The sequence below is a fragment of the Homo sapiens genome, chromosome 12 (assembly GCF_000001405.40).
Source record: "Homo sapiens chromosome 12, GRCh38.p14 Primary Assembly".
Classification (NCBI taxonomy): Eukaryota; Metazoa; Chordata; class Mammalia; order Primates; family Hominidae; genus Homo; species Homo sapiens.
Genome location: NC_000012.12, coordinates 13,353,773 through 13,378,066, shown reverse-complemented (window position 1 = coordinate 13,378,066; position 24,294 = coordinate 13,353,773). Strand labels below are relative to the sequence as shown.

The following is a 24,294-nucleotide window of genomic DNA, read 5'->3' as shown; positions in this document are numbered from 1 at the left end:
TACCATTGTTCTCAGAGGCCTCAAGAGAAGGTGGTGTGTTCTAGAGTTAGTTGTAACTATGCAAATGTGGTAGGCAGATTTCTAAGCAGGCCCCCATGCCGTTAACCCTATGATGTCATTCCTATGATTATGCTATACTGCATGTCAAAAGGGATTTGCAGGTGTAATTAAGGTTACTAATCAGTTGACTTTGCAATAGGGAGATTGTCCAGATGGGTGTAACCTAACAAGCTATAGAGCTTTCTTTAGCTAGTGGCAGAAGGGGAAGTGAGAGATAAATAAAATATGAGAGGGATTTGATGAGAAAGAGGTTCTCTATTGGTAGCATGGAGGGAGTTATAGGGAATGACCTCAAGAGAGCAGTGTCCAGAAGCCAGGAGTGACCAAGAGTCAATAACCAGCAAAAATCAGGAATTGCAGTCCTTCAACCACAAGGAACTGAACTGAACTCTGCTAACAACTTGAATAAGCTTGGAAGTGGATTCTTCCCGGAGCCTCCAGACTATAACCTAGCTCAGCCAACACCTTGATTTCAGCCCTGTGAGACACTGAGCAAAGAACCCAGCATGAGCCCACCCAGACTACAGACATCTGAGATCATAATAAGTAGGTGTTGTTTTAGCCATGATGTTTGTGGTAATTGTTAGGCTCCCTAAGTGTGGCTGCACTATCGCCAGGCCATTATGAACTCTGTGACCAACATGTACACCTCCAGAAGTGAACTCTGTGACTAGCACGTATACCTCCAGATAGCTCCCTGGAACAAAGAGGCCCAAAGCAACAAAAGAATGACCGCAAAGAAGAAAAACAGCAAGTTCCTGTTCCAGCCGGTTAACCATCCCTCCAAATCTATAACGACCAACCCCCAGCTGTAACCTTCTGTAACTTTCCACTTGCTACCCCAGCCTATAAAACCCCCTCTTCCTCATTCCTCAATGCTGACTCTCTTTTCGGACTCAGCCGGCTCACACCCAAGTGAATAAACAAGCCTTGTTGCTCACACTTAGCCTGCTTGGGTTGTCTTCTCAATTAAACACGTGCTTAACAGTTATTTGTTACACAGAAATCAAAATGTTAATATAACAAGTAACTCTGACCCTTCTGCCATTCTGCCTTTGCTGGGCATCTTGAATCTGCAGCTGGTTCAAGGGCTGGTATCTCAAAAGAGGAAATCCAGTTGTGATGGTTAATCTTTTGTGTCAACTTGACTGGGCTAAGGGAAGCCCAGGTACCTGGTAAAACATTATTTCTAGGTGTGGCTGTGAGGGTGTTTCCAAAAGAGATTAGCATTTGAATCAATGTGCTTAGTAAAGAGATCATCCTCACCAATGTGGGTGGGCCTCATTCAATCCATTGCAGACTTGAATAGAACTAAAAGGAAGAGGAAGGGCAAATTTGTTGGCTGCTTGAGCTGGGATATTCATCTTTCTCCTGATCTTGGACATCAGAACTCCTGATTCTCAAGCCTTTGGGTTTGGACTGGAGGCACCAGCTTTCCTGGGCCTCCAGCTTGCAGATGGCATATCATGGAACTTCTCAGCCTCCAAATTCATGTGAGCCAATCCTTTATTATTTGTATAATTATGGTATATTCATTGTATTATATCTATCTAATCTCCTATTGGTTCTGTTTCTCTACAGAACTCTAATACACCAGTACAATGGAAAGATTCCTAAATTCAAAAGCCAGAAGGCTGGGTTCCTGTTCCCACCCTGCCTTTTACCTTCTGTGTGTTCCTGATGAAGACACTTCATGCTCCACTATTTACTTACCTCTGAAACGAAGGGCTGACCCAGATCAGTTGTTCTCTGACCTGCTTGGAGGGACTCAGAGGCTGTGGAGGTGAGTGGGAAACAGGCCAGGTTCCAGGCCCACACTTCAAAGAGACAAGGTCTGCTTTGGACTGTTTTACACACAGGGCTTCTGAGTTTTAGATTTCATTAGAAGTGTTTCTTCTGCCAAATGAAATTTGAAAACCACTGAGCTGGGTGATTATTAGGACCCATTCCAGCTGTCATATTCTTCCAGCATGAAGATCAAGTTCAGCAGTGCAGCAGCTGGAGCTGTGGAAAGAGGTGGTATGAGTTTGGGCTTGAGTTAGTGGACATGGTAGCCAAATCAGAGATCCCTCTCTCATTCAAGTCATCTGTTGCTACCTGTTTGCTCTGGAGGTCTGAACTTCTGGGAGATAAATGTTTAAACTGACAGACTTCAGTTCAAATAATGACTCCACATTCGTATCCTGATATTGGGTAAATAAATAAATCTCTTAAATTCCCAGAGCTGCAGGTTCTTAGCCTATAAAATGATGACATCACCTACTTTGCCCAGTTATTGTATATACTAGTTAACATGGTCTAAACTGTGCCAATTGGAAGACCCAAAATGCAATGCCTTGAGAAGAGTAAAAGGTTTTTTCTCTTTCATGTAAATAGTCTAGAACAGGCCAGGTGGTGGGCCTTCTACTCCAAGCATCCTTCAAGGAACCCAGGAGATGCTAGTTCTATTATTTTCAGCACGTTGCTCACAAGGTTACTGCAAGGTTTGTATTCCAGCCAAGCAGGAAGGTGGGGCGGAGGTGGGGTGGTATGGAGGAGCCTATGAGCCAAGTTTCATGGTCAGGTCTGAGAGTGGCTCACATCACTTCCACTCACATTCTGTTGGTGAGAGCTTAGCCATACAACCACACTGAGTTCCAAAAGAAGCCAGAAACTAGTCCCTGGCTGGATAATTCCCTCCCAGTTAAAATTCTATTGCTTTGGGTGCGCTGAAAAGTCTAGGGTGGTTTCCACCACATTACACATAGAAAAGTGCTTAACACCTAGGAGCCTCCGGCTCAGCATCTCCACATAGGCCCAGCTCTGCTGATTAAGTGTGTTTCCATGTGGGCATATGCGGAGGTGGCCAGCACTATTCCATATCCTCATTTCAGGATTTTTCACAGCTGCTTTCAATCTGCTTCTCCTAAATGACTCTCTTTGGCTACACCTCGTTTTCCTAGAGTGAATATTTCCATCAGCTGATGCCCTTCTCAGGCCTCAATCTCCCCTGGTTTGCAGACTGTGGCCCTCCTTGGCCTCTGTGGAATCTGGCCATTTGAATCCTGTCAGCCCTGTTCTCCATCACCAAAGGACTCCGGAGGAACTGTGCCAAGCAGGCTGTCAGCCACGGGCAAGCTTTCTGAAAAAGACGTGCCAACTGCAGCCACAGAAAGTCCATTCCCTTGAATAACTTTGCTAATATTTGAAAATTAGTTCCCTTGCTCCTGATCATGCTACTGGGTATTTGGATATAAGAGCAAGGATGAGGGCAATAGAAAATTAAAATCATGTTCTACTCATATAAACTGCACAGATATGGAAGGGTAGGTCCTATTACCTATAATCCTGGGATTTTTAGACTCTCACTTTCATTGGACCAGAGTTGCCTTAGGGACAGTAAAAACACAAAATGCTGGGTATTGTTTTCATCAAGCAACTACTGATAGTGCACATTTAAATCAAAATTCTTCTAATCCCAAACTCAGTAAACAGATGCTGTGAGCTTAGTTCTGCCCCTCTGGCTTCAGATTTTACCCCACTGGATGTGCCCAATTCTGAGATGACAAGACGCTTCCAGCTTCCACATGGTTGCAATTTGGCTGTGGAACTGGCATGAAAGCACGTCACTGTGTCAGCACCTGGGCCACCAGATGAATAACCTATGAACAACAGCTTTGGACTAAAATATGAAGGGGTTGTTTTCCTTCAATCTCCCCCTACCTTCCTCAGAACCTGCTACAAGGAAAGATTTATAGACTCGAAAGCGTCAATGACTGATTAGACCCATATGATTGCTCCTGCTGTTTCTGATATTTTAAAAAATTGTCTTATAAAGAGATAAAAATAAATAATCAATGGAAAAACTTTTGGCATGGGAGAGACATTTAGGGAAAGAAGTCATTTCAGCCTCCCCCAACACACACATGCACACACACATACAGCCTATATCACACAATGGAGGTGAGGACCCACTCAATCTAGGCTCAGGACTGGCTCCATGGGACAGATGGGTGGGACAAGTCATCCTGCTGCAGTCAGGTAGCAGAGAGCACCGAGGAGACTAAGATGACAGAGACAAAATAACTAGAGAAAAGATACAGGAGCTAGGGGGAGAGGGTTGAGGTTTGACGAAGCTCTCTCTTCCCAGTAGGGGAGAGTTGGAAGCCACAGATGTAGTTACAGCCCCTTGTTTTCCAGATGAGGAAACAGGTGCTGTGATGTTAAGAGCCCCCAGTAGTGGTCCATGTAGCCAGTGGCCTATGTCAGCTGGGCTCTTACTCTCATGGGAGAGGTGCCACCTTCAAATGTCTGAGATCCACTGACCTTCTTTGAACAATAGCAGCTGAAGTAAGAAAACACCATGAAAAGCCCATGCCTCTTTAGCGCCATTTTCATATTGATGTTCCGTCTTCCTCCATGCAGTCAAAGGGCAACATTTTCTCTGCAACTTCCCAATTTTGCCTGATGCAAATAAAATGTGCTGCTCTTGTCCTTCTCTCCTTTTCCCCTTAGTATTCTTGATTTTCCCCTAGATACTCAAGTAATGCCCAGGTCTCAGGAATGTATAATCTCTTGCTTATCTCTAGCAACAGATTTGGGAATGAGGAATCGTTCCCTGGAAGAGTCAGAGCGCTCGTAGACACATTCTGCTGGATTGCACGAGCTCCTCCCCTGGGAAATCCACTAAGACTAGAGGAAAGAATTGCTTGGAGGATTCAGAGGCTGAAGAGTGGACAGACGGCTTTAATTGAGAAAAAGAAGCAGAAAATTGAGGAAGATGTGAGGCATCAATGCCAGCAGACGACATGTGACAGGTGCTAGCCACATGGATCACACTAAATTTCTGTCATTTATATAGATAAAAAAGAATTTCCAAAGAGCTCCTCCATAATTCAGCATTAACCAGCTTTAAATCATCACCTTTCTTTACCTTTTCAAAGCACTTTTATCTAGCTAGCTTTCACTTTCAGAGTGGCCAATTCAGGTGAGGATTCTCAATCCTGTTCTGCAGCTGAGGAACTCATGCTCAAAAGGGCTAAGAGTTTATTCTCTTACATCCAAACACCTTGCTTTTCCAAATCTTGTGCTCACTTTACCTACACATTTTGATTTTTCCAGGCTGATGACAAGTTAGACATGCAGACTCCTCAGGCTCATTCATAATCTGTATAGACATTACAGGTCATGCAAATTTAAGAAAAGGCTAAAAGGTGCCCGTTTGCACCCAACATGTTGGATAATGCCCCGGTAAAGTGGAAAATCAGTTTCCACAGCCTCGCTCTGTAGGTTTCCTTGGAATTGTAAAAGCATAGGACTCTGCCTCATATTTATTTCTATACGGCAATGAGGATATAAAGGAGCAGACCGAAAAGAGAAAGGAATTTTAAAAGCCATGGAAAGCTGCCCTAAATGTGGTTGGATATAGAGAGGAGAGTGCTGAAGGCAAACAGCTGTGCCCTCTTTGCCTTTTTGCTGAGGAAGGGGATTTAAGCCAAAAGAACACACGTAAACGTGGATTTCTTAAAGTTCTCACTGTAATTATGTAGCCTTGGGAGATGAGGAATTGTAAAGTAGATGCTGGCTTAAACAAATGATAAATCCTTGAGGTGATGGGCACCCCATTTTCCCTGATGTGATTATTACACATAGCATTCCTGTATCAAAATATCCCATGTAACCCATAAATATATATACCTACCAGTATATTTCTGTGGCTAATCTGAAAGCCACCTGCACCCTTGTGAAGACACCCACAGAGACTTCTGCCTCCCCTCCTACCCTCTGGCCTCAAGAGCTCCCTGGGCTCTCCTGTTGCAGGAGGGAGAGGGAGAGCTTCTTTAGGTTCCTGGTAAGGATCTCTGAAGACAATTCCTTAGGCTTGGATAATTCCCAGACATTTGCTAAAAAGCAGCATCCTCCAAAGCTTTAATTTGGATCACAGGAAAATGATGCTCCCGCCTCAGATTCAAACACAGTTTTATCTCACACTGCAAGCTCCCTGGCATGGGCAAAGTCCTCGATGCCTTTCCTGGTGGTTTCCAACATCAAGGACATACTTGTTCCTCCTCCTAGCTCTCTCCCTCAGCCAAGTCCTTCCTTACAATGAATTGTCCTGCAGAACTCCCTCTTAAGCTTGGCTTCTGGGACAGAAAACCTACTTTCTGAAAGGGTATGGGGACTGTCAGAGCATGAACTGGACTCAAGCTCCCAATTACAGAGCAGACACAAGGCTCTGCCTGCACCAGGCCATCCCTGGATTTCTGCAGCTCCAGGACTCTCTTCCAGCATCTAGATGCAGCTACTCTCATTCCAGCTTTGTGTCCTGTTTGATGCAAAATCTTTATTCCTTCCTGTTTCAATCCCTGTTGCATATTCTGTGTGACAAAGCAAGAAGCTGGAAATCGAGTTCTGAGCTTTATACCCAGCTCTGCCACAAATGTGCCATGACCTTGAATAAGTCACATGACTTATCTGGACCTGGATTCTCTCATCTGTAAAAGAGGAAGCTGAGCTATACTACTTTTAAAATGTCTCCAGCTTTAATTTTATTAGAATATCAGCTGCTTCCTCCTCTGGTTTCTCATGGCAGGTTGTGCATTCTTCTCTGGAGACACCAAATTTCATTGGAGTATCTCTCCTTACAAATGTATTTCCCCACTAGATTGGCCCCTCAAGAACAAGGATTGTATTTTAGTTACCTCTGTTATCTCTGTACCTGGGGAGGAGTGAGAAAAGGAGAGCAGGAAAGGCAATGGTATAGTACCAACATTTGTTGAGCTTCTATTATGAGGAATTGTCTATGCTACACATTGTACATAAAGTATGTATGATTCACAGTATAAACATTATAATCTGGAATCAACCTAAATGTTCATTAGCAGATGAATGGATAAAGAAAATGTGGTATATAGACGCAACACAATACTATACAGCCATAAAAAAAAAAAAGAATGAAATCTTGTCATTCATGGCAGCATGGATGAGCCTGGAGGACATTACGTTAAGTGAAAAAAGTCAGGAACGGAAACACAAATGCCACATGTCCTCTTTCATATATGGGAAAATTTAAAAAGTTACTCTCATAGAAGTAGAGAGTAAAATAGAGGCTACTAGAGGCTGGGAAGGGTAGAGGGGCAAGGGTCATAGGGAAAAGAGAGTTAACGGATACAAATTACAGCTAGAAAGATGGGAAGAGTGAATTCCAGTGTTCTAAAGCAGGGTAGGTGACTACAGTTAATGATTATTTATTGTCTACTTATTGTATATTATTGTATATTTTCAAATATTGTATATTTTCAAAGAGGATTCTGAATGTTCCCAACACAACAAAATAATAAATATTTGAGGTGATGGATATGCTAAGGACCTTGATTTGATCATTACACATTGAATACATGTATTAAAATATCACTCTGTACCCCATAGATATGCTCAATTATTTTGTGTCAATTAAAATGATAAAAAAATTATAATCTCATATCTGCTGATGAAGCAACTGGGAAATTAATTTAGCCAGGTCACACAGCTGGATCAGAAATAAAATCCAGGTTTGCCTGGCTTTGCCTACTGTCCCAAGGACCTGGCCTGAAGCAATAGGGCTCTACCAAAATTCTCCAAATATCTAGTAGGTGCTCAATAAATACTCATTAAACAGATGTGACATATATTCTCTTATTTGGCTTTTGGTCAGACTAGGATTTGTCTTTGATCCTTATCTACACTGAGATGGGAGAGGAGCAGAACTGGGGCAGGAGATGAGAGTCCCAAACATAATTTTATTTCAAGGACTTCTGAATTCTTTAATTAAGAAGGGGCAGGACAGAGCTCTTACTGAGTAATAGGAAATAATGATGAAATATTATCAAGGTAACTCAAGGTCTCAGGTGCTTCACCCTGAAGAAAAAGCTAAAGCCCTAATTTGCCTCATCACTCAACCTACAAATTCATAGAGGACACAATTGTTTTCACAGCCCCTGAAGGTCACATTATTCTTTCTTGCTCTAATGCCCCTCACAATTATATACAGGTGAGCAGGCAGAGAAATCTATATTAAAGCCTCAAAGTGTGAGGGGCTCCCAGCTCCAGAAGCCTGCAAGGTACTTGGCCCGAGTACCGTGGCAAACTCTGTGGGCTCCCAGCATGTGGCCTGAAAGGCAGTGATATTGGAATTGAAATGGATTGCTGTCTTCAGGGCACTCTAGCCTGGTACCAACACCTGAGAAAGGCTCTTTGGTTCTTGTTAATTTATCTTAAGCACAAATAAATTCTAAGAGCCAGCTGAGTTAATATTTGCCTAAGGGAGAAAGGAAAAAGAAAAGTGATCATCTGTCTCTAAGGGTGCCTCAGGATTGTGCCTGGAGCTCCTGACCCATTCAGGGTCCACATAAATCTCTCACTGGAGTGTCTGATATTGTTTCAGCAAGGAATGCAGTCCAGTAGAGAGAAGAATGTTCATTTCTGTCTAGTGGTGAGTTAATGCCCATCTGCAGGCAAAGATTCAAATAAACAGCACACTGCATGTATTTCTTTTTAAATAGAGTATTGCTTTAATAGCTGTTGGAGGTGGGATGTTTGATATTCCTTTATGAAACAAACATATCCTAACACTTCAGAGAGGTAGACTATTCTGTAAGGTGTCCTATCATTCCAAAACACCATACAGTGGCCCTAAACTCTGACTGACCTTTTCTGCTTAATCATACATTGTGGTTTGAATGTGTCCCCTCCAAACTTTAGGCATTAAAACTTAATGGCCATTGTGATGGTATTAAGAGGTAAGGACTTTAAGAAGTGATTAGGCCAAGAGGGCTTCTCCCTGGTGAATGGGATTAAGGTTCTTTTATAAGTGGTTTCATGAAGCATTCAGGGAGCTTGACCTCCTGCTGTGTGAGGACACAGCGCTCCTCCCTCCAGAGGACACAACAGCAGGTGCCATCTTGGAAACAGAGATCAGGCCCTCGCCTGCCAGTGCCTTCACCCTGGACTCTCAGCCTCCAGAATGTGAGGAATCCATTTTAGTTCTTCATAGATTACCCAGTCTTGGGTAATTTTGTTATGACAGCACAAAATTGACTAAAACACTGCATAATGGATTTAGGACATTCATTCACTCAAAAAATCCTTATTGAGTGCTTACCATTAGAGAGAGAACAACAGATTAGTTTAGCCACTTATTAACTACATGACTTTGGGCAACTTGCTTACATTCTCTGTGCTTCATTTACCTTATCTGTGAAATGGAGATAATAATAGTGCTAATGTCAGAGTTGTGAGGATTAAATTAACTAATGTGTGAAGCACTTAGAGCACCTCTCAGACATAGCAAGTGCTGTGTAAGTGTTACTACTGCCTGCCAAGTACTGGAGCCAAACCTCTCACCCAGGCTATTAACACCCATAGGATGAAGAGACACTTACTGACTAGAGTGGATTTCTTGTCTGGGTGGAAAGGGCAAGAGGCACCTACACAGGCTGCCCACCTGCCTCACGCCCTTGGCTGCCCCTCCCTGCACCCAGTCCCTGGCAAGGCCAGAGAGGCTGCCACCACCACCCAGTGAAAATGGGGTGAAGGGAAGCTGAAAAGTGGATCCTGAGGAAGAGCTCACAGTGCTCTCAAGGGAAGTGGCAACAAGATAGTGGCACCAAGGGTGAGATGGAGGCCGATTCACTCTGCTTGTCACAGAAGGCCAGGCCGCTGCCTTTCTAAAGTGACCGTTCAGCACTTGACCCTCACCTTCATGATGGCTTTCACCACTTCAGGCCTGCTGCTCACAAAGACCATGGTGTCCCAGCGAGCGGAGTCCCGGCCATCCTGGCATCCTGTCTTCTTGGAAGGAGCAGGCCCAAGCACTGGAGCGCAGTGTAAATATGCCTGCCAGGGAACAGGATTCTGCGTTGGGCACTCATCCCAGCAGCTTCAGGCTCTCGGTTGTCACTGTTTTTACACCTGTGACAAATGACATGGCCAGTCACGCTACAGTGTCTGAAGAAACCTCTGTAGAGGAGTAGGACGCAGCAGATATGCTGTGGCCCAGACAGCAACTGCCAAGCAGATGGAGCCTGCACCCCCACAATTTGGCCAAAGACATACCGATACTCTCCATGAAAAAGATTTCCAGAAGCTGTGTGTCTATAACAAAGTCTTAACAAAAGAAACAACAACCACAAAAACAACACAAAGTCACCAACACTAAAGATTATTCTTGAGTCTGATTTGAAAACTAGGGTCAAATTCTGCAGAGGCATTCAACTGGCAGGATACCACCCTAACAGCCAGATCTATAGGTCCTCTCATCATGCCGGGGAAAACGCTCTATTCACCACTCCTCAGCTTCCGGTTCTGGCTTCAGAGTTCTCTCTATACTGGAGGAGTTTTAAAGCCAGAGGTGTCTTTACCTACTTACTCTTATTCACAGATCTAAATATGGAAGTCAAGAGAGGAAAGTGACATGTCCTTAGAGAAGAGTCCACAAGAAAACAAGACAAACAGCGACTGCGCCCCTAGTGTATACTGGGCATTGGCGAGCTACTGGGGACAGGGAGACAAAGAAAGCCTAGTTCCTTTTTTAAGGAGCTTAATCTAGGAAGGGAGACAGACTCTTTGCAGACTGGACCAGGCTTCCCTGCAGCAGAAGGAAACTTGAAATCAGGGTAATGAGCCTCAGCAGGGACGGGCCAGCACGCTGCTCTGAGAGGATCGTGTGTGGACACAGGGCTATGGCATGGCCCTGCGTCGACCTGCTAGCTGTGCTGTAGGGCCAGGTGGGGCCTGGAGTGGCCTGAGCTAGGGGCTGCTGTGAACTCTTTCCACTCCCCCAAGGCATCATATAAGTAATGACACTTTCTATTTGCCCAGCAAAATCAAGGACACAGTTTTCTAGAACACGGGATGGGGTGCTTCCCCTTCCCCCAGTCCAATGGACAGTCTAATCCGGTTGGTGGGCCTTTGTTCATGACTCACGAGCCACTAGCAACTGCAGGTAGAACTGCAAAGCCCCCAGGAGCCTCAGAGGGCCTGCTGCCTGCCACGACATGCCTACTCAGCTGCTGCTGGCCCACCTGTGGGCAGCAGCCCTAGTGATGTACAGAAGCCCGGGACTAGTGCCAGCAAATCTATGGATACCCTGCGTGATCTGGGCGTGCACTGTTGTGGTGGCCTCTACGGTCAGGAGGCAACATGTGGGGAGAAGGCCGGGCGCGATGGCTCACGCCTGTAATTCCAGCACTTTGGGAGGCGGAGGCGGGCAGATCACGAGGTCAGGAGATCGAGACCACGGTGAAACCCCGTCTCTACTAAAAATACAAAAAGTTAGCCGGGCATAGTGGCGGGCGCCTGTAGTCCCAGCTACTCGGGAGGCTGAGGCAGGAGAATGGCGTGAACCCGGGAGGCGGAGCTTGCAGTGAGCCGAGATCGTGCCACTGCACTCCAGCCTGGGTGACAGAGCAAGACTCCGTCTCAAAAAAAAAAAACAAAAAAAACATGTAGGCAGAGGAAGGGAGGAGCCGACCCAAAAGGATTTGGTCCAGGGTGAGGTCCACAGAAAGGCCAGAGCCAAGATGCGGCCAGCAAACACCTCAGGCCAGTGGTGGCCTCATGTTGCCCATGCCGGAGGCCAGTCCTTGATCGCTCCGAACCCTCTGCTTGAGGGTTCTAAATGAAATGAGCAGGTCATCCCGTCAGGATCTAAGTGAACTTCTGAAAAAAGCACAAAAAAGCAAGCCTCTTGAGCTTCCCCCAGTGACCGATACAAGGCACATCCCACACGCTTCACAGCACAGTGGAGAAGAACTGCACCAGGAACATGTGATGGGGCCTCAGCGGGAGCCCGCGGAGGAGGACGCCTACTGCCTGGATCTCGGCCAGAGAATTTGCAAGGTCCACAACAACTGGAACCGTGTGTGTCAGACCCGCGACCGCTACAAGATGTCCCAAGACTTGGCCCAGGAATTAAAGAAAGAGACTTCCAGTTTTCAGAGGGAAATCCTCTTCCATGAGAAAGCGGCCCAGATAGGCTGGATGGCTGCTTGCTGTGTCCACTGAGAGAGTGCTCCAGGCACTCCGAAAAGAATGACTACAACAGGCAGAAGCCAGCTGATTGTGAGGCCAAGTTCCAGCCTTTCCTGAGGGGCCCTTTGGCTCCTGAGGCTTGGCCCTCAGCCTACAGGGCCCCAGAAGTGCTAGGAGGACTGTGAGACACCAGGGTCCCCAGGAGACATGAGGGTCATGATGTGAGGGCTTGGGTCCAAGCACCTGTCAGGTTCTGTTTTCCCGGTAGCCGGGTGCTAAATGCCCAGAGACCCGGCAGAACATCAGCCGGTGCTGCTCCCTTTAAGGCACTTCTGACTGATCTCTTGTTAGTTGAGCTACTGTTCATCAGCTGACCCTGAAATTGCTCTAATTGAAGTTTGATAGATAATGTTAGGATTGTAAGGTACTATTTTTCAAATAAAGATTGTTTAATCTAAAAAAAGAAAAATATATCTAACACATTAAATCTTTTATTTAGGGATATTTTTACTTGGGGCCCAGTAAAGAAAGAAAAAAGAAATGCTTAAGTTGATTTAAAAAGAGAACTTCTACATTTCCATAAGATAATGGCAGTTGCCTGAATCTAAATTTCTCATACACCCTCCAAAACCAAATAGACAAGTGGAACAAATACAGCTAAAACCTGTGCCCACAGTAGCATAACTAGGAGACAGATTATAGTATATTAAATGATTAATGTTCAGCAACTATTCACTCTCTCCTTCCCCCCTAAGAATCTCAACCATCACCTCTGATATTAAGAGTGGGGATGTGAATTGCTTTGGCCAGTGGCATATTGAGAACTCATGCAGGCAAAAACTTGAAATGTGCCTGCATAGCTGAGCAAGTTCTTTTGTGCTCCTGTCTTTTGCCATGAGAAGAGTATGGTATGCCTCATTTAGCACCTGGTTCATAAAGGATAAGAGACATTTGAAGAGGACCCAAGTACAACCTGAGCTTGTAAGCAAACCTTACGAGCTAGATGAGCTAAATCCCAGTCAACGTGCAAAAACGTAAGTGAAAGATGAAGGTTTATTGTTTTATGCACCTGAGTTTTAGGGTTATTTGTTTTGCAGCAACGGCTGACAGATACAGAAATTAGTACCAGAAGTGAGATGCTGCCATAAAACTTAAACTATTTGGTATTAATTTGGGGGCTGAGAAGTTTGCAATAAGGAGATTGTCATATAAGAATGAAAAATAGCGATCTGTCTTATGCAGTGCCAAATGATTTGGGAAAATATGGCCTGCAATATCTTACAAGTCAGAATATTTACCTAATAAACATTAGTGTTGATTGAGGAAGTTTTGAGGCAAATCATTGAAAGTGTGAGCTGATCGCTAGTAGCTGCATTTGATAAGGTACTACATGAAAGAGATTCAATCAGAAAAATACTAACTGGTTTGCAAGCAATATTTAAAGGAATATTATAGGCTTGGAAAATAAAAGTGCTAATTAATAAATCAAAGGTGTTGCCATTATGACCACAACCTCAGTCAGAGAAAAGGCCAAACCCAGGGTGCTTCCAATAAAACATGACTCAGGATAAAGATCAAATAAAAGGTATGGCTATAATACTTGCTTATACCTCTAAAGAGATGAAGGTAACATCTGCAGACCTTTTTAACTAAATAAAGGGACAACTAGAAAGCTTGAACATGATTCCATAAAAGCATATTTTGTTCAAATTTGCTGCAATTTAAGTCTAGAAAGACACAGACATGTATCAAAAAGTATGTGTATGTGACTTTTGGCACTGGTGTTGATAGAAATCAAATAAAAAACCAAGAAGGAACTTTCAAAGGGTAGAGCCAAAAACAGTGAGGAATGATGGATTTAGGATTACTTCCACAGACATCACCAGAGCCTAATGAAGAAACATTTTTACCACCAGTGTAGTGGAATCTGGTATTTGCCCACCAGGATTTCATAATTTCTAAGAACCAGTATCTATGTGCTATGTGATGGCAGTTCTTGCCCTTTTTAAATTAGAATGTTTATTGAGGCCGAGAGCCATGGCTCACGCCTGTAATCCCAGAATTTGGGGAGGCTAAGGCGGGTGTATCACCTGACGTCAGGAGTTCCAGACCAGCCTGACCAACATGGAGAAACTCTGTCTCTACTAAAAATACAAAATTAGCCGGGCATGGTGGCGCATGCCTATAATCCCAGCTACTCAGGAGGCTGAGGCAAGAGAATTGCTTGAACCCGGGAGGCAGAGGTTGCAGTGAGCCGAGATCGCGCCATTGCACTCCAGCCTGGGCAACAAGAGTGAAACTCCGTCTCAAAAACAAACAAACAAAAAAAAACAAAACAAAGAATTTTTACTGAAGTTAACCTGTTTCTCTTCCACCATTATATATTTGGATATGTGCAGAGTGGCGGTAGATAACAACTTGCCTTCTCGGTTCAAAAGTCTATGTATCAAGAGGAGTCGCATATTTGATGTAGATCCTAAGATCCTAGATTTCAAGTGTTATGCCATGATTTGATAAGACTTTGAGAACTCTTGGGATGGAAGTGAGAATATTTTGAGTATGGGAGGTATGTAGATATTTATAGATAGAAAGGAAATCTATGGCAAATTATTGTTCAGCCAATATTCACTTTCTGTCTCTTCCAACTTCTATGGGGAAAACACTTTTCTGTCTCGTTGTTGAACTTGGTCATATGCCTTTGGTCTATGGAATGTTTTGTAAACAGATATTTGAAATGTATTCCTATAGAGGGGCTTATTTTCTTACACTCTTGTCTTTTGCTATGAATATAGCATGCATGGAGTAGGCACTAAAAGGGCAAGATGAGAGGCTTGTAGACTTGGACCCAACCCACAGTTTGTAACCAAGCCCAGCCTAGATCAGCCAAATCTCAGCAGACCCGAAGATGGATAACCAAGAAATGAATGCTTATTTCTACATGCCACTTAAGTGGTGTTTTTGCACAGTAATAGACAAAGAAAGGTACAAACTTTATTTTTCAGATAAGTGGGAAAATACACATCTGAAACCAGCAGAGCCACAACTGTAGTTCATGCCAGAGCAGAGTCAGGGGTTACAATAAGAAAGGGAGAGTACAATGTTTTTGAGATGGCATCATACATACAAATTTACCTCCAGAGAGGATCCCATCCTGAGTTGAGAAATACTGAGAAAATATCTGAGACAGTAAATAAGACTACCGACAACTGGGAATTGAAAAAAAGGGTGCTTGAGAGGATATAGCTTCAAATGTGGCAGCATTGGGAAGGCACTGTTTCTGGGTGAGAAGAAGACAACCTGGAAAGGAAGGACTCTGTACCACTTATCAGCTTATTGTCTCCCAGCTCTGAATCCACCCTTTCCTATGCAGCTTTGTAATACTGAAGCCAGACCCTATAGACGTTTCTCCTTTGCCAGCTGGCACACAAGGCTTTATCAACAGAGGGTGCTGACATTACACTTCAAGGTGATCACCACATGAACACACTTCTCTTCCAGGTTCTAGCCTGCCATTTTTTATTCATCATTGCAGCCTAGTGGCCCTCATGAACCAGCTCTGGCTGTGCCCTCAGGCTACTCTGTCCCCACCTAGTGACCACTTGTGACACAGGCAATGGGCTCCTTCCTTGGAAACTCCAGCTGCGCCTTCAACGTTCTACCTGCCTGGCAGCTGATTGTTGGTGGCTTCCATGAGCCACAGCAGCTCCAGCTATAGCAGGCAACTAGATCGCCACTTGACCCAGGCCTTCCAGCAAGCTTTGTCATTATAGGTAGGCTGTATGTTCCTCTTTACAAAAGTCTAAATCTCAGGCTTGTGAGGATAAAGGTGCTTTTCCAAGTTCTTTGTTTCTTTGCTGCCACTTTCCCTCAGCCCAGAAGTAGTAGCTGGGTTTTTTTTTGAACATACTACTTTTCGATCTCTGAGAGTCCTGTTTAATCTTTTTAAATCTTCAACTATTACTAGTTAAGAATTCTTTATATTAGGCTTTCCATTTCTAATCACTGTTGCATTCTTTAGTTTTCTGACTGGACCCTGACCGATGTAGTGTCCTTTAGAGTGGCTTGGGAGTAAAGGGAAAGCAGGAAGGAAGTAGTTTAAAATAAAATTTCTACTGAAGTAATAGAAGACACAATCAGAAAACCAGGACCCTTCCTCTCCCCAAAGAGAGATCATTTATTCAAGAAAGTATACTGCACTGTAGAAAAGAAAAGAGACTTATCTCCTCTCACACCTTTATATAAACGTCTGTGGTTGCTTCTCTGGAAAAATTCCAAGGCATTTTAATGTAAATGGAAAATATCAGGAGACATCCAAGCAAAGCTAATATAAGAAGAAAATGGAAAGTGAACATAAAAACATCTCATTAAAAAAAAAAAAAACCCTTCCGAAATATCAACCAGGAAGCAGAGGAAAACTGTATGTAACACAATGCTCCAACATGAATTAAATATCATTAAAGTAGCATTTGTAGGAGAAAGGTACCCTTCAGCCAGAAATTTAAAACTTGTAATAGAAATTGGCAAAACTGAAAATGACATAAGATGAGAATCGGCTGAACTTGGGGAAAGAAAAGCGAAAAAAAGGACAGTCTTCTCAGAAATGAAGACTAGATTAGAAAGCACTCAAGTGAAAATAGATTTTTTTAATATATCACATAAAATTGAGATGGGAAAACAACCAAGAAAATGAAAATAAAATAAAGAATTAGGTAAAAGATATTAGAGAGAAAGTGATACGTAGAAGATAATAAAGGAAGACCCAATGTGTGTGTAATGGAGGCTTCAAAGAAGAAAAACAAGACAGTAAACCAGAATAAAATTTTAAAACTATAATGCAAGAAAACTTTCTAGAAATAGGAAAGAATTAAATTTATATATTGAAGAAACCTACGGTGTACCTTGAAAATTTTGACCCCAAATGGCTAGCACTAGGACAAACCTAGTAGAATTATTAAAACACTGAATTTAATTTTTTAAAACATCTGGAACTCCAGACAAAAAGATGTGGTCATTTAAAATTAATAGATACCAGATTAGCTTCCAACTTCTCAAAAGCAATATACAAACTAACTCAACAGCGAAACAGCATTTCAGATTACTCAAGAAACATAACATTGGTGAATTCTATTACAAGTAAACTTTATCTCAAGACACCAAATTTTCTCCCCCACCCCCAAAAAAATATAATTAAAAGGAAAGGTTAGTAAAAGATTCTGGGAGGATCAGAAGACAACAGCATGTTGTTTCAATCTTCCTGAATCTTCACACTAAAAGAAAACAAATAGATAGTAAAGCCAAACATTAATGGAGAACATGAGGAGAACCCCAAATAACCACAAGCATTAATCAGAAAGCTTGGCAGACCAATTTGAGAACAACAGCTAAAACTAGGAGTGATTTTCCCCTCCCTAATCATGGATGAGTACAAGTGAACTACAGTAAGATCCCAAGAGAACTGAAAAGGCTACCTTTTATAAATTCTCAAAACTGGCTAGGTAGGAATCCCTTCCAGGAGAGGACCTCAAACTAAAGATAAACTCCTGGAATGGAAGTAAAATTGAGCAGAATGGAAGCAAATAGGGAAAAAAATATCTAGATGAAATTAGAAAACATTAACAGCCAGGAGACCTCAGAAAGCAAACTGCTGTTTTTTTTAACACTATACAAAAGCACAGAAGAGGGAGCTTTGTGAATTTAGAAAACCTATCTTGACTCGAGCACAGCTTTTTCTAAAATTTCTGGGAAATGAATTTTATATAAATAAGAGTATGAGAAAAAGACAGAGGTTAAATCCCACGCAAAGTAATTATTAGAAAAAATAAGAATAAAAAAACAGAATAACACCTTTTCCAGAAAAACATGCCCATAAACAGATAAAAACTTGTAACCCACTATTTCTAAACTAACTAAAAGACACTTAAAACATGAAAAAGGAAATGAAAGAATAACATAAATGAAAACTACAAAAAACTTAGAAATCAGGTCACAGAACACAGGAAAAAAATTACACATAAAAAAATCTCAGAAATGAGAACTAAACAAGAAAGAACACATGGGTGAATAAATACAACAGATAATTCTTCAAGAGAAAGTGAAAATAAGGAGAATGTTTAAAACAGAAATGAAGAAAGACAAAAAAATGAGATAAAGAGAGAAATACTGAAAATAAACAAAGAAAATACAGCACACAGATAATAGGCATCCCTGAAGAAGGAAACCAAAGCAAACAAAGGGAACATAAAAAATACAAAATAAATTATAATCTAAGGAACCTTCCCTGTAATTAAAAAATACTAACTACATATCAAAGGAACACAATGCATATCTGAAAATAGCAATTCAGCATAACCACAGACAACACATATTCATACAATTACTTGACTTTAAAAGAGAAAAAATTATTTGAGCATTAAGTAGGCGGAAAAAGCAAATAACTTGTAAAGGAAAGAAAATTAGATTGTCAACTTTTTGCAAGCAATGCTGTATGACAGACAAAAAGACCATATCACTTACAATGAATGGATTCCAAGTTACCCTCCATCTTCTCACATAAAACAACATACAAAGTGACACAATAATGAAGCAACCTTTCCAATACATTCAAGAAGCTGGAAACTGATGGATTTTATTGCACATATGTTATATCTCAATAAATCTATTTTTTAACTTGTTTTTAAGTTAGTAGAAGACAATGGAGAAACACTAATAATACACTCAAAGAAAGAAAACATAACCCAAAGACTTCATATCAAACAAAACTAACCTCTAAGTGCTCTAACTAGAGCACGAATATTTAGCAACATACAAGAACTCAGGGAATATTGTTCTGATGAACATTTCCTGAGAAATCTACAAAACAAATTTTAGACCACTAAAATGTCTAGAGATACTTCTGTACACAGATTGGAATAGTAAATATATAATTACTTGAATGCCTATGACTAAATAAGTCCTGAAAAAGAAAAAATAGAGTATGAAATGGCTTTAACTCTGACAATATAGATATAACTACAGAAAAATGAAGGGGCAAGAACAGGGAGTACATACACAAAACAACTTCAACCCCTCTTAGAAATTATTTTGATGGTAACATTTATATTAAGTGTTTAGGTCACCCTTTAGAGATGGGATGGATCCCCCTCCCAATTAATAGGTCAAATGTTGAGATGGGTGTTGCCACACACACATCAAATCGGTATGAAACGGTTTCTTACATCATGAGGCTTTCTGTGCTATGCGAGGCAGGCTCCCAGCAGGTCCAAAACTGTCCTGAGGAAGGAAGGGGGGGAACTAGCTTGGAGTTTTATTGTGGTTGGGGGTGAGGCTGAGATGAGGATTCCCATGTGTGGTCTGGGGCTTGCATGGTTTGAACTCTCCACTAGTGTCAAGAGAGGGAGTATGCAAGCTTTGTTATCAGTTTGCCCAGAAGAGAGGCAAGAGGAAAAGACAGAAGAAAGGGCTTAAAAGCTGTCTGCAGCCAAACATCAAAAGTAGAGTCACGCTCATTATTGCACTGAGATTGGTGTATGTGTAATGTGAGAAAAAGAAAATAAGTAACATGGGATTTTCTAATTCTGGTATTTCCTATGTCCTTAGGAAACAAAATTATCAGTGTAGAAGAAAGGAGATCTGTAACATAGACAAGGTTAAGCAGACTCTATAGTCCTGAATTTGAATTGGAAGTATCAGTATGAATTCATGTGATATTTGTAAATTTATATTTTTAAACATGTAACAGAATTTATTTATTTCCTAACTCTATCCACAGAAAATGCCTGCAAACTATGACCAATACTGCAATAATAAACCTCCTTAATGCCCAGATTATGGTCTTAAAATATCACTTTTCACTTAGAGGAACAGAGCTTTTGGAGAAATAGTAGATTCTAAGTCTGAGGCAGGAAATCACAAGATAATCTTGTAATATTTTTCATTCCAGATAGCAAGAAAACTATCAAACACTACTAGGGTCATAGCAAAAGAACTCAGGAGCCAAACCAAGTAAGTTCCAGTGGGCCAAAGATAGAACATTTTGAGTTTTATTAAATGTAATAATTGTAATAGATGTAAATCCTTCAAATATGTTTAAATCTATGAATTTATCGTAGTAAGAAGAAATTAGTTACTTGCAAAGAATGAAATAATAGAATTAGAATATCATCACTGTAGAATGGCTAATGAATGAATGGATTTAAGCTTTGAGGTCGACAGATACTACGTGCCTCCTCTCACTGAAAGAATTCAACCACACTTAATAGTTTTGTCAAATGGATTGAGCCTGTGTCTATCAAGCCTCTGGATCCAATTGCTAATTTACAGAAAATATGGAGGACAGAAGAACATGTTGAACTGTACTGTGAGCATACGATCAGCAAAATCCAGACTGAGCAAACCTCCACAAGACAAACAGCCAAGATCTATAGCAAGTAAATTGCAAGTAAAAAAGACAGAGGGAGATCCTGTAGATCAAAAAATACTTAAAAGACATATATTTTTATAAGGAACAACTCTAAACTACAGGATTCAGAAATGTACATTGGGGTAATAAAACTAAAATGAAATGCAAGGGAAAAAACTAAAATGACATATCCAAAAATCAAAAGAGTGGTTGCTTGTAGGAGAAGGGAGGGGTTCTGATTGATAGAGGGCACATGAACAGGGTTCAGAGGTGGGTAGCAAAGTTCAGTTTCTTGCCCCGGCTGGTGATCACCAAGGTGTTTGCCTCCATTCATCCCTATGTGTGTTTCTGGAGTTTTCTGTATCTCTGTTTTATCTTTTAATAAAATGTTTTTTTTAAGGGGGGGCAGGGTGAGTTAAACAGATATTTAATAAATAATTACTCAGGTGGCAGCTGAATTTGGCAAAAGTTACGAAGGTACTTGGCTGACCAGGATTCAAAAAAACACTAGAATAATGTTGAAGAGCTTGGGCTCTGGAAAGCCACAGAGGTCTGTTCGCATTCCCATTCTATTGACTATCAGCTGTGTGATCTCTAAGCCTCAGTGTCCTTATCTATAGAATCAATATCATGATAGTAACACCCTCAGGGTGGTTGTGTAGCATAAATGAGATAATCCATATAAAGCACTCCACAAGGTGCATGTCACATAGTAATCACTCAGTACCTGTTGTTGTTAGGAATATTAGAGGCTTCTAATTGTCTAGACATCTTTTTCATGGACCACTAGGGACTTCTGCGAGGCCTCTTTCCACTTCCATTACAGCTCTCTGAGTTATTTTTCTTTGCTGCTCCAATTATAGTCCTGAGAAAATTCTGACTTCATTTCTTTAAACACTAAGTGCTTTGGGATACATAGGGAAATGAAAAGTGTTATAGATTTCCAAATTATATTAAACCAATTTAACTTGCTGCCCAGCTGCCACAGGGACCAGCATGGCAGTAACTGCTAGGGACCAGAGAATTTTTGAGAACTCAGTTAGCCTGTGGCTGGTACACCTACCACTTCCCCAGGTATTCAGAGACGATAGTTATGCTAATCCTCCAGCTTGAGTGCATATTTGGAGATGTAGCCTCTGAAGCAATTATCCTTCTCAGCATACTTCCCACTGATACATGTGTCCATATATATATATACACACGTATATATATGTAAACTTTATGGTCTGTCTGAATTCATCAGCCAGCAGCTCCAATGAATGCCAATTTCTTACTGACCTGTCCCGCATCATTGCCTTTTACGCAATTCTAGCAGCAGGTAGGGAGATGCCCTCTGGAATGGAGTGCTTCAAATTAGTTTTAGTGCCCTTTAGCCTAAGGTATATGTTGAGCAGGGAGTAGAAATGTTCCTCTACTTTCCAAGCATCTCCTCCCTCCATGCCCCCACCATTCGGGGCTTAAACATTCTATTCACATTTCTCTTACCTGAATTTTCACAACCAATGAAACTCACCCGTTCTATTTCAGACATCTTGCTTTGCTTTTAAAATCTGCATAGTGCTTTCATCCTCATCATTTCAACCGTCAGACAAGTGTTATTAACCTCTTTTGGTTTTTACAAGGAACCTGATCTCCTAGTGAGATCACATGTAGTACAACTTGCCCAGAGCCTCACGTGTCCGAGCTGAGACAGGAACAGACTTCTCCCCATTACATGTGCCATGTCTGCAGTTTCTTTCCATGATGTCCTAAAGACACTGCCTTCTCCTATGGGAAAGGCATATTTGTGATATGTGATATATTTTGCTTATATATAAAAAATGCGTGATATATTTTACTAATGTATTTGTCTGCTTATGAATCTATGTATGTTTTTGTTGGTTTATTTTATATAAATTAGGATGCTATTTCTTATATGTGTTTGAGAGAGAATAAGTATATAATTAAATACAACAGTCTAAAATAATTATGAGTTAGTCACATTTTTAACAAGTGATACAATGAGATTTGCAAGAAAACGTCATTACAGAAAAAAATGGAGATTTACCTCTAAAATCTACTATCAAGTATGCTTTTTTCATCTCTTCTTAGGACAGCTTTCATTCCATTTTTAAATCCATTTGTAATGACATATTTTTACATTTATTTCAAATGTTCAGAAAAGTATGAAGGCTAATATCATGAACATTTGTGTACTGGCTATCCAAATGTTAACTTTTTCTTCATATTTGCTTCAGAAGTTTTTCTTTTTTGAAATAAAATATTTCAGAAAAGATTGGAGTTTCCTGGTTTCTTTTGTCTCATTCCTCTCCTTCTAACCCCAGAACAGAGCAAACCACTATCCTGAAGGTGTTTTTGTTTTGTTTTGTTGAGACAGGATCTTGCTCTGTCTCCCAGGCTGGAGTACAGTGGTGTGAGCATAGCCCACTGTAGCCTCAAACTTCTGGGCTCAAGCAGTCCTCCTGCCTCAGCCTCCCAGTAGCAGGGACTACAGGTGTGCACCACAGTGCATGGCTAGTCTTTTGCTTTTTTTGTAGAGATGGGGTCTCCTCATATTGCCCAAGCTGGTCTCAAACTCCTGGCCTCAAGCAATCCTCCTGCCTCAGCCTCCCAAATCATGGGGATTACAGAAGTAAGCCACTGCACCTGGCTCTATCTTTTCTTTTAATGTTTTAAAATATTCACTGTACATGTATTTATCTGTAATCAACATTCATTCAAAAATAAATAATACACAAATATATGTAATAATGGATAATGTTTTAATCTTTACACAAATGATGTTATTATCCTATATATATATATTACTATACATCTTGCTTTTTTTGCCCAACATCATGTTTTTGAGATCAATAATAGATGAGTTTAATATGTTTTCATGTGTTGTGTTTACTGACATATTTGAACTTATTTCTATTTTATTTTGTGTCTTTTGTTTTCCATACTTTTCTGCTTAATTTTATTCCTTTCCTTGACTTTCATCAAACTAATATATTTGTCTATAGTCCTACTTTTCTTCATTTGCTGGTTTGGAACTGTAGATTAGTTTTCTACTCTTCTGATATTCCAAAAATTTTAACAATCATATTTAATTGTACATTTTTAATAAAGTCTAAAGTTATTATTTTTATCCTAGATTATTTGTCTACTCTTCTGATATTCCAAAAATTTTAACAATCATATTTAATTGTATATTTTTAATAAACTCTAAAGTTATTATGTTTATCCTTTTTAATAAGACAAAGATTTTTACCGTGCTTTAACTAACTACTAAAAATCCTCCACCACCACCAATTAGTCACAGATATAAAATTTCAGTTACACAAAATGGGAAATTTCAGGTCAAAGTGGCATTGAAAATTGATTCTTTGAATGCACACCATGCAGCACACTAGCATGGCACATGTATACATATGTAACTAACCTGCACATTGTGCACATGTACCCTAAAACTTAAAGTATAATAATAATAAATATTTTTAAAAAAGAAAGAAAATTGATTCTTTGAAGCCTCCCTTTTCTACACATGGGAAATTCTAAAAAGAGAGAATTTCAAAAGCAAAGCAATTTCAAATTAAAGTCCTAGAGATTTATTGTACAACAGAGTACCTATAACTAACACAAAGTACCATATTGTATCTTAAAAATTTGCCAAGAGTGAGGAATACTTGTGTTTTTATCACGCAAATTAATAATAATAAAGAGGACAGGAGGAAACTTTTGGAAGTGATGAATATGTTCATGGCATAAATTGTGGTGTTGGTTTCATGGCTATATACTGATCTCCAAACTCACTATATTGTATACATTAAATATGTACAGCTTTTTGTATGTCCAACATACCTCAA

The 24,294-nt window shown here is 40.9% G+C and overlaps 1 long non-coding RNA gene across 1 annotated transcript, besides 4 other annotated features; it reads left to right on the top strand.

Annotated features, from left to right (window-relative positions):
* The first annotated feature begins 1,321 nt into the window (after positions 1-1,321).
* LINC01559 (long intergenic non-protein coding RNA 1559) lies at positions 1,322-7,396 on the top strand. The gene is made up of 3 exons (NR_036555.1): positions 1,322-1,553; positions 1,642-1,843; positions 4,629-7,396. It is a non-coding gene; the product is annotated as a long intergenic non-protein coding RNA 1559 (long non-coding RNA).
* Positions 1,520-2,719: an enhancer, noted in NCBI's record as "CDK7 strongly-dependent group 2 enhancer chr12:13528282-13529481 (GRCh37/hg19 assembly coordinates)". NCBI's record gives its function as "activates an origin of replication core promoter dependent on BRD2, BRD4, P300/CBP, MED14 and CDK7 cofactors, with strong dependence on CDK7, by STARR-seq in HCT116 cells {active_cell/tissue: HCT116}" and the evidence as "EXISTENCE:reporter gene assay evidence [ECO:0000049][PMID:35650434]".
* Positions 8,581-9,107: an enhancer, noted in NCBI's record as "NANOG hESC enhancer chr12:13521894-13522420 (GRCh37/hg19 assembly coordinates)". NCBI's record gives its function as "activates a minimal SCP1, AML or CMV promoter by ChIP-STARR-seq in primed H9 embryonic stem cells {active_cell/tissue: H9 hESC(primed)}" and the evidence as "EXISTENCE:reporter gene assay evidence [ECO:0000049][PMID:30033119]".
* Positions 9,167-9,666: an enhancer, noted in NCBI's record as "H3K4me1 hESC enhancer chr12:13521335-13521834 (GRCh37/hg19 assembly coordinates)". NCBI's record gives its function as "activates a minimal SCP1, AML or CMV promoter by ChIP-STARR-seq in primed H9 embryonic stem cells {active_cell/tissue: H9 hESC(primed)}" and the evidence as "EXISTENCE:reporter gene assay evidence [ECO:0000049][PMID:30033119]".
* Positions 15,478-15,577: an enhancer, noted in NCBI's record as "active region_6034". NCBI's record gives its function as "activates an Ori minimal core promoter by ATAC-STARR-seq in GM12878 lymphoblastoid cells {active_cell/tissue: GM12878}" and the evidence as "EXISTENCE:reporter gene assay evidence [ECO:0000049][PMID:35858748]".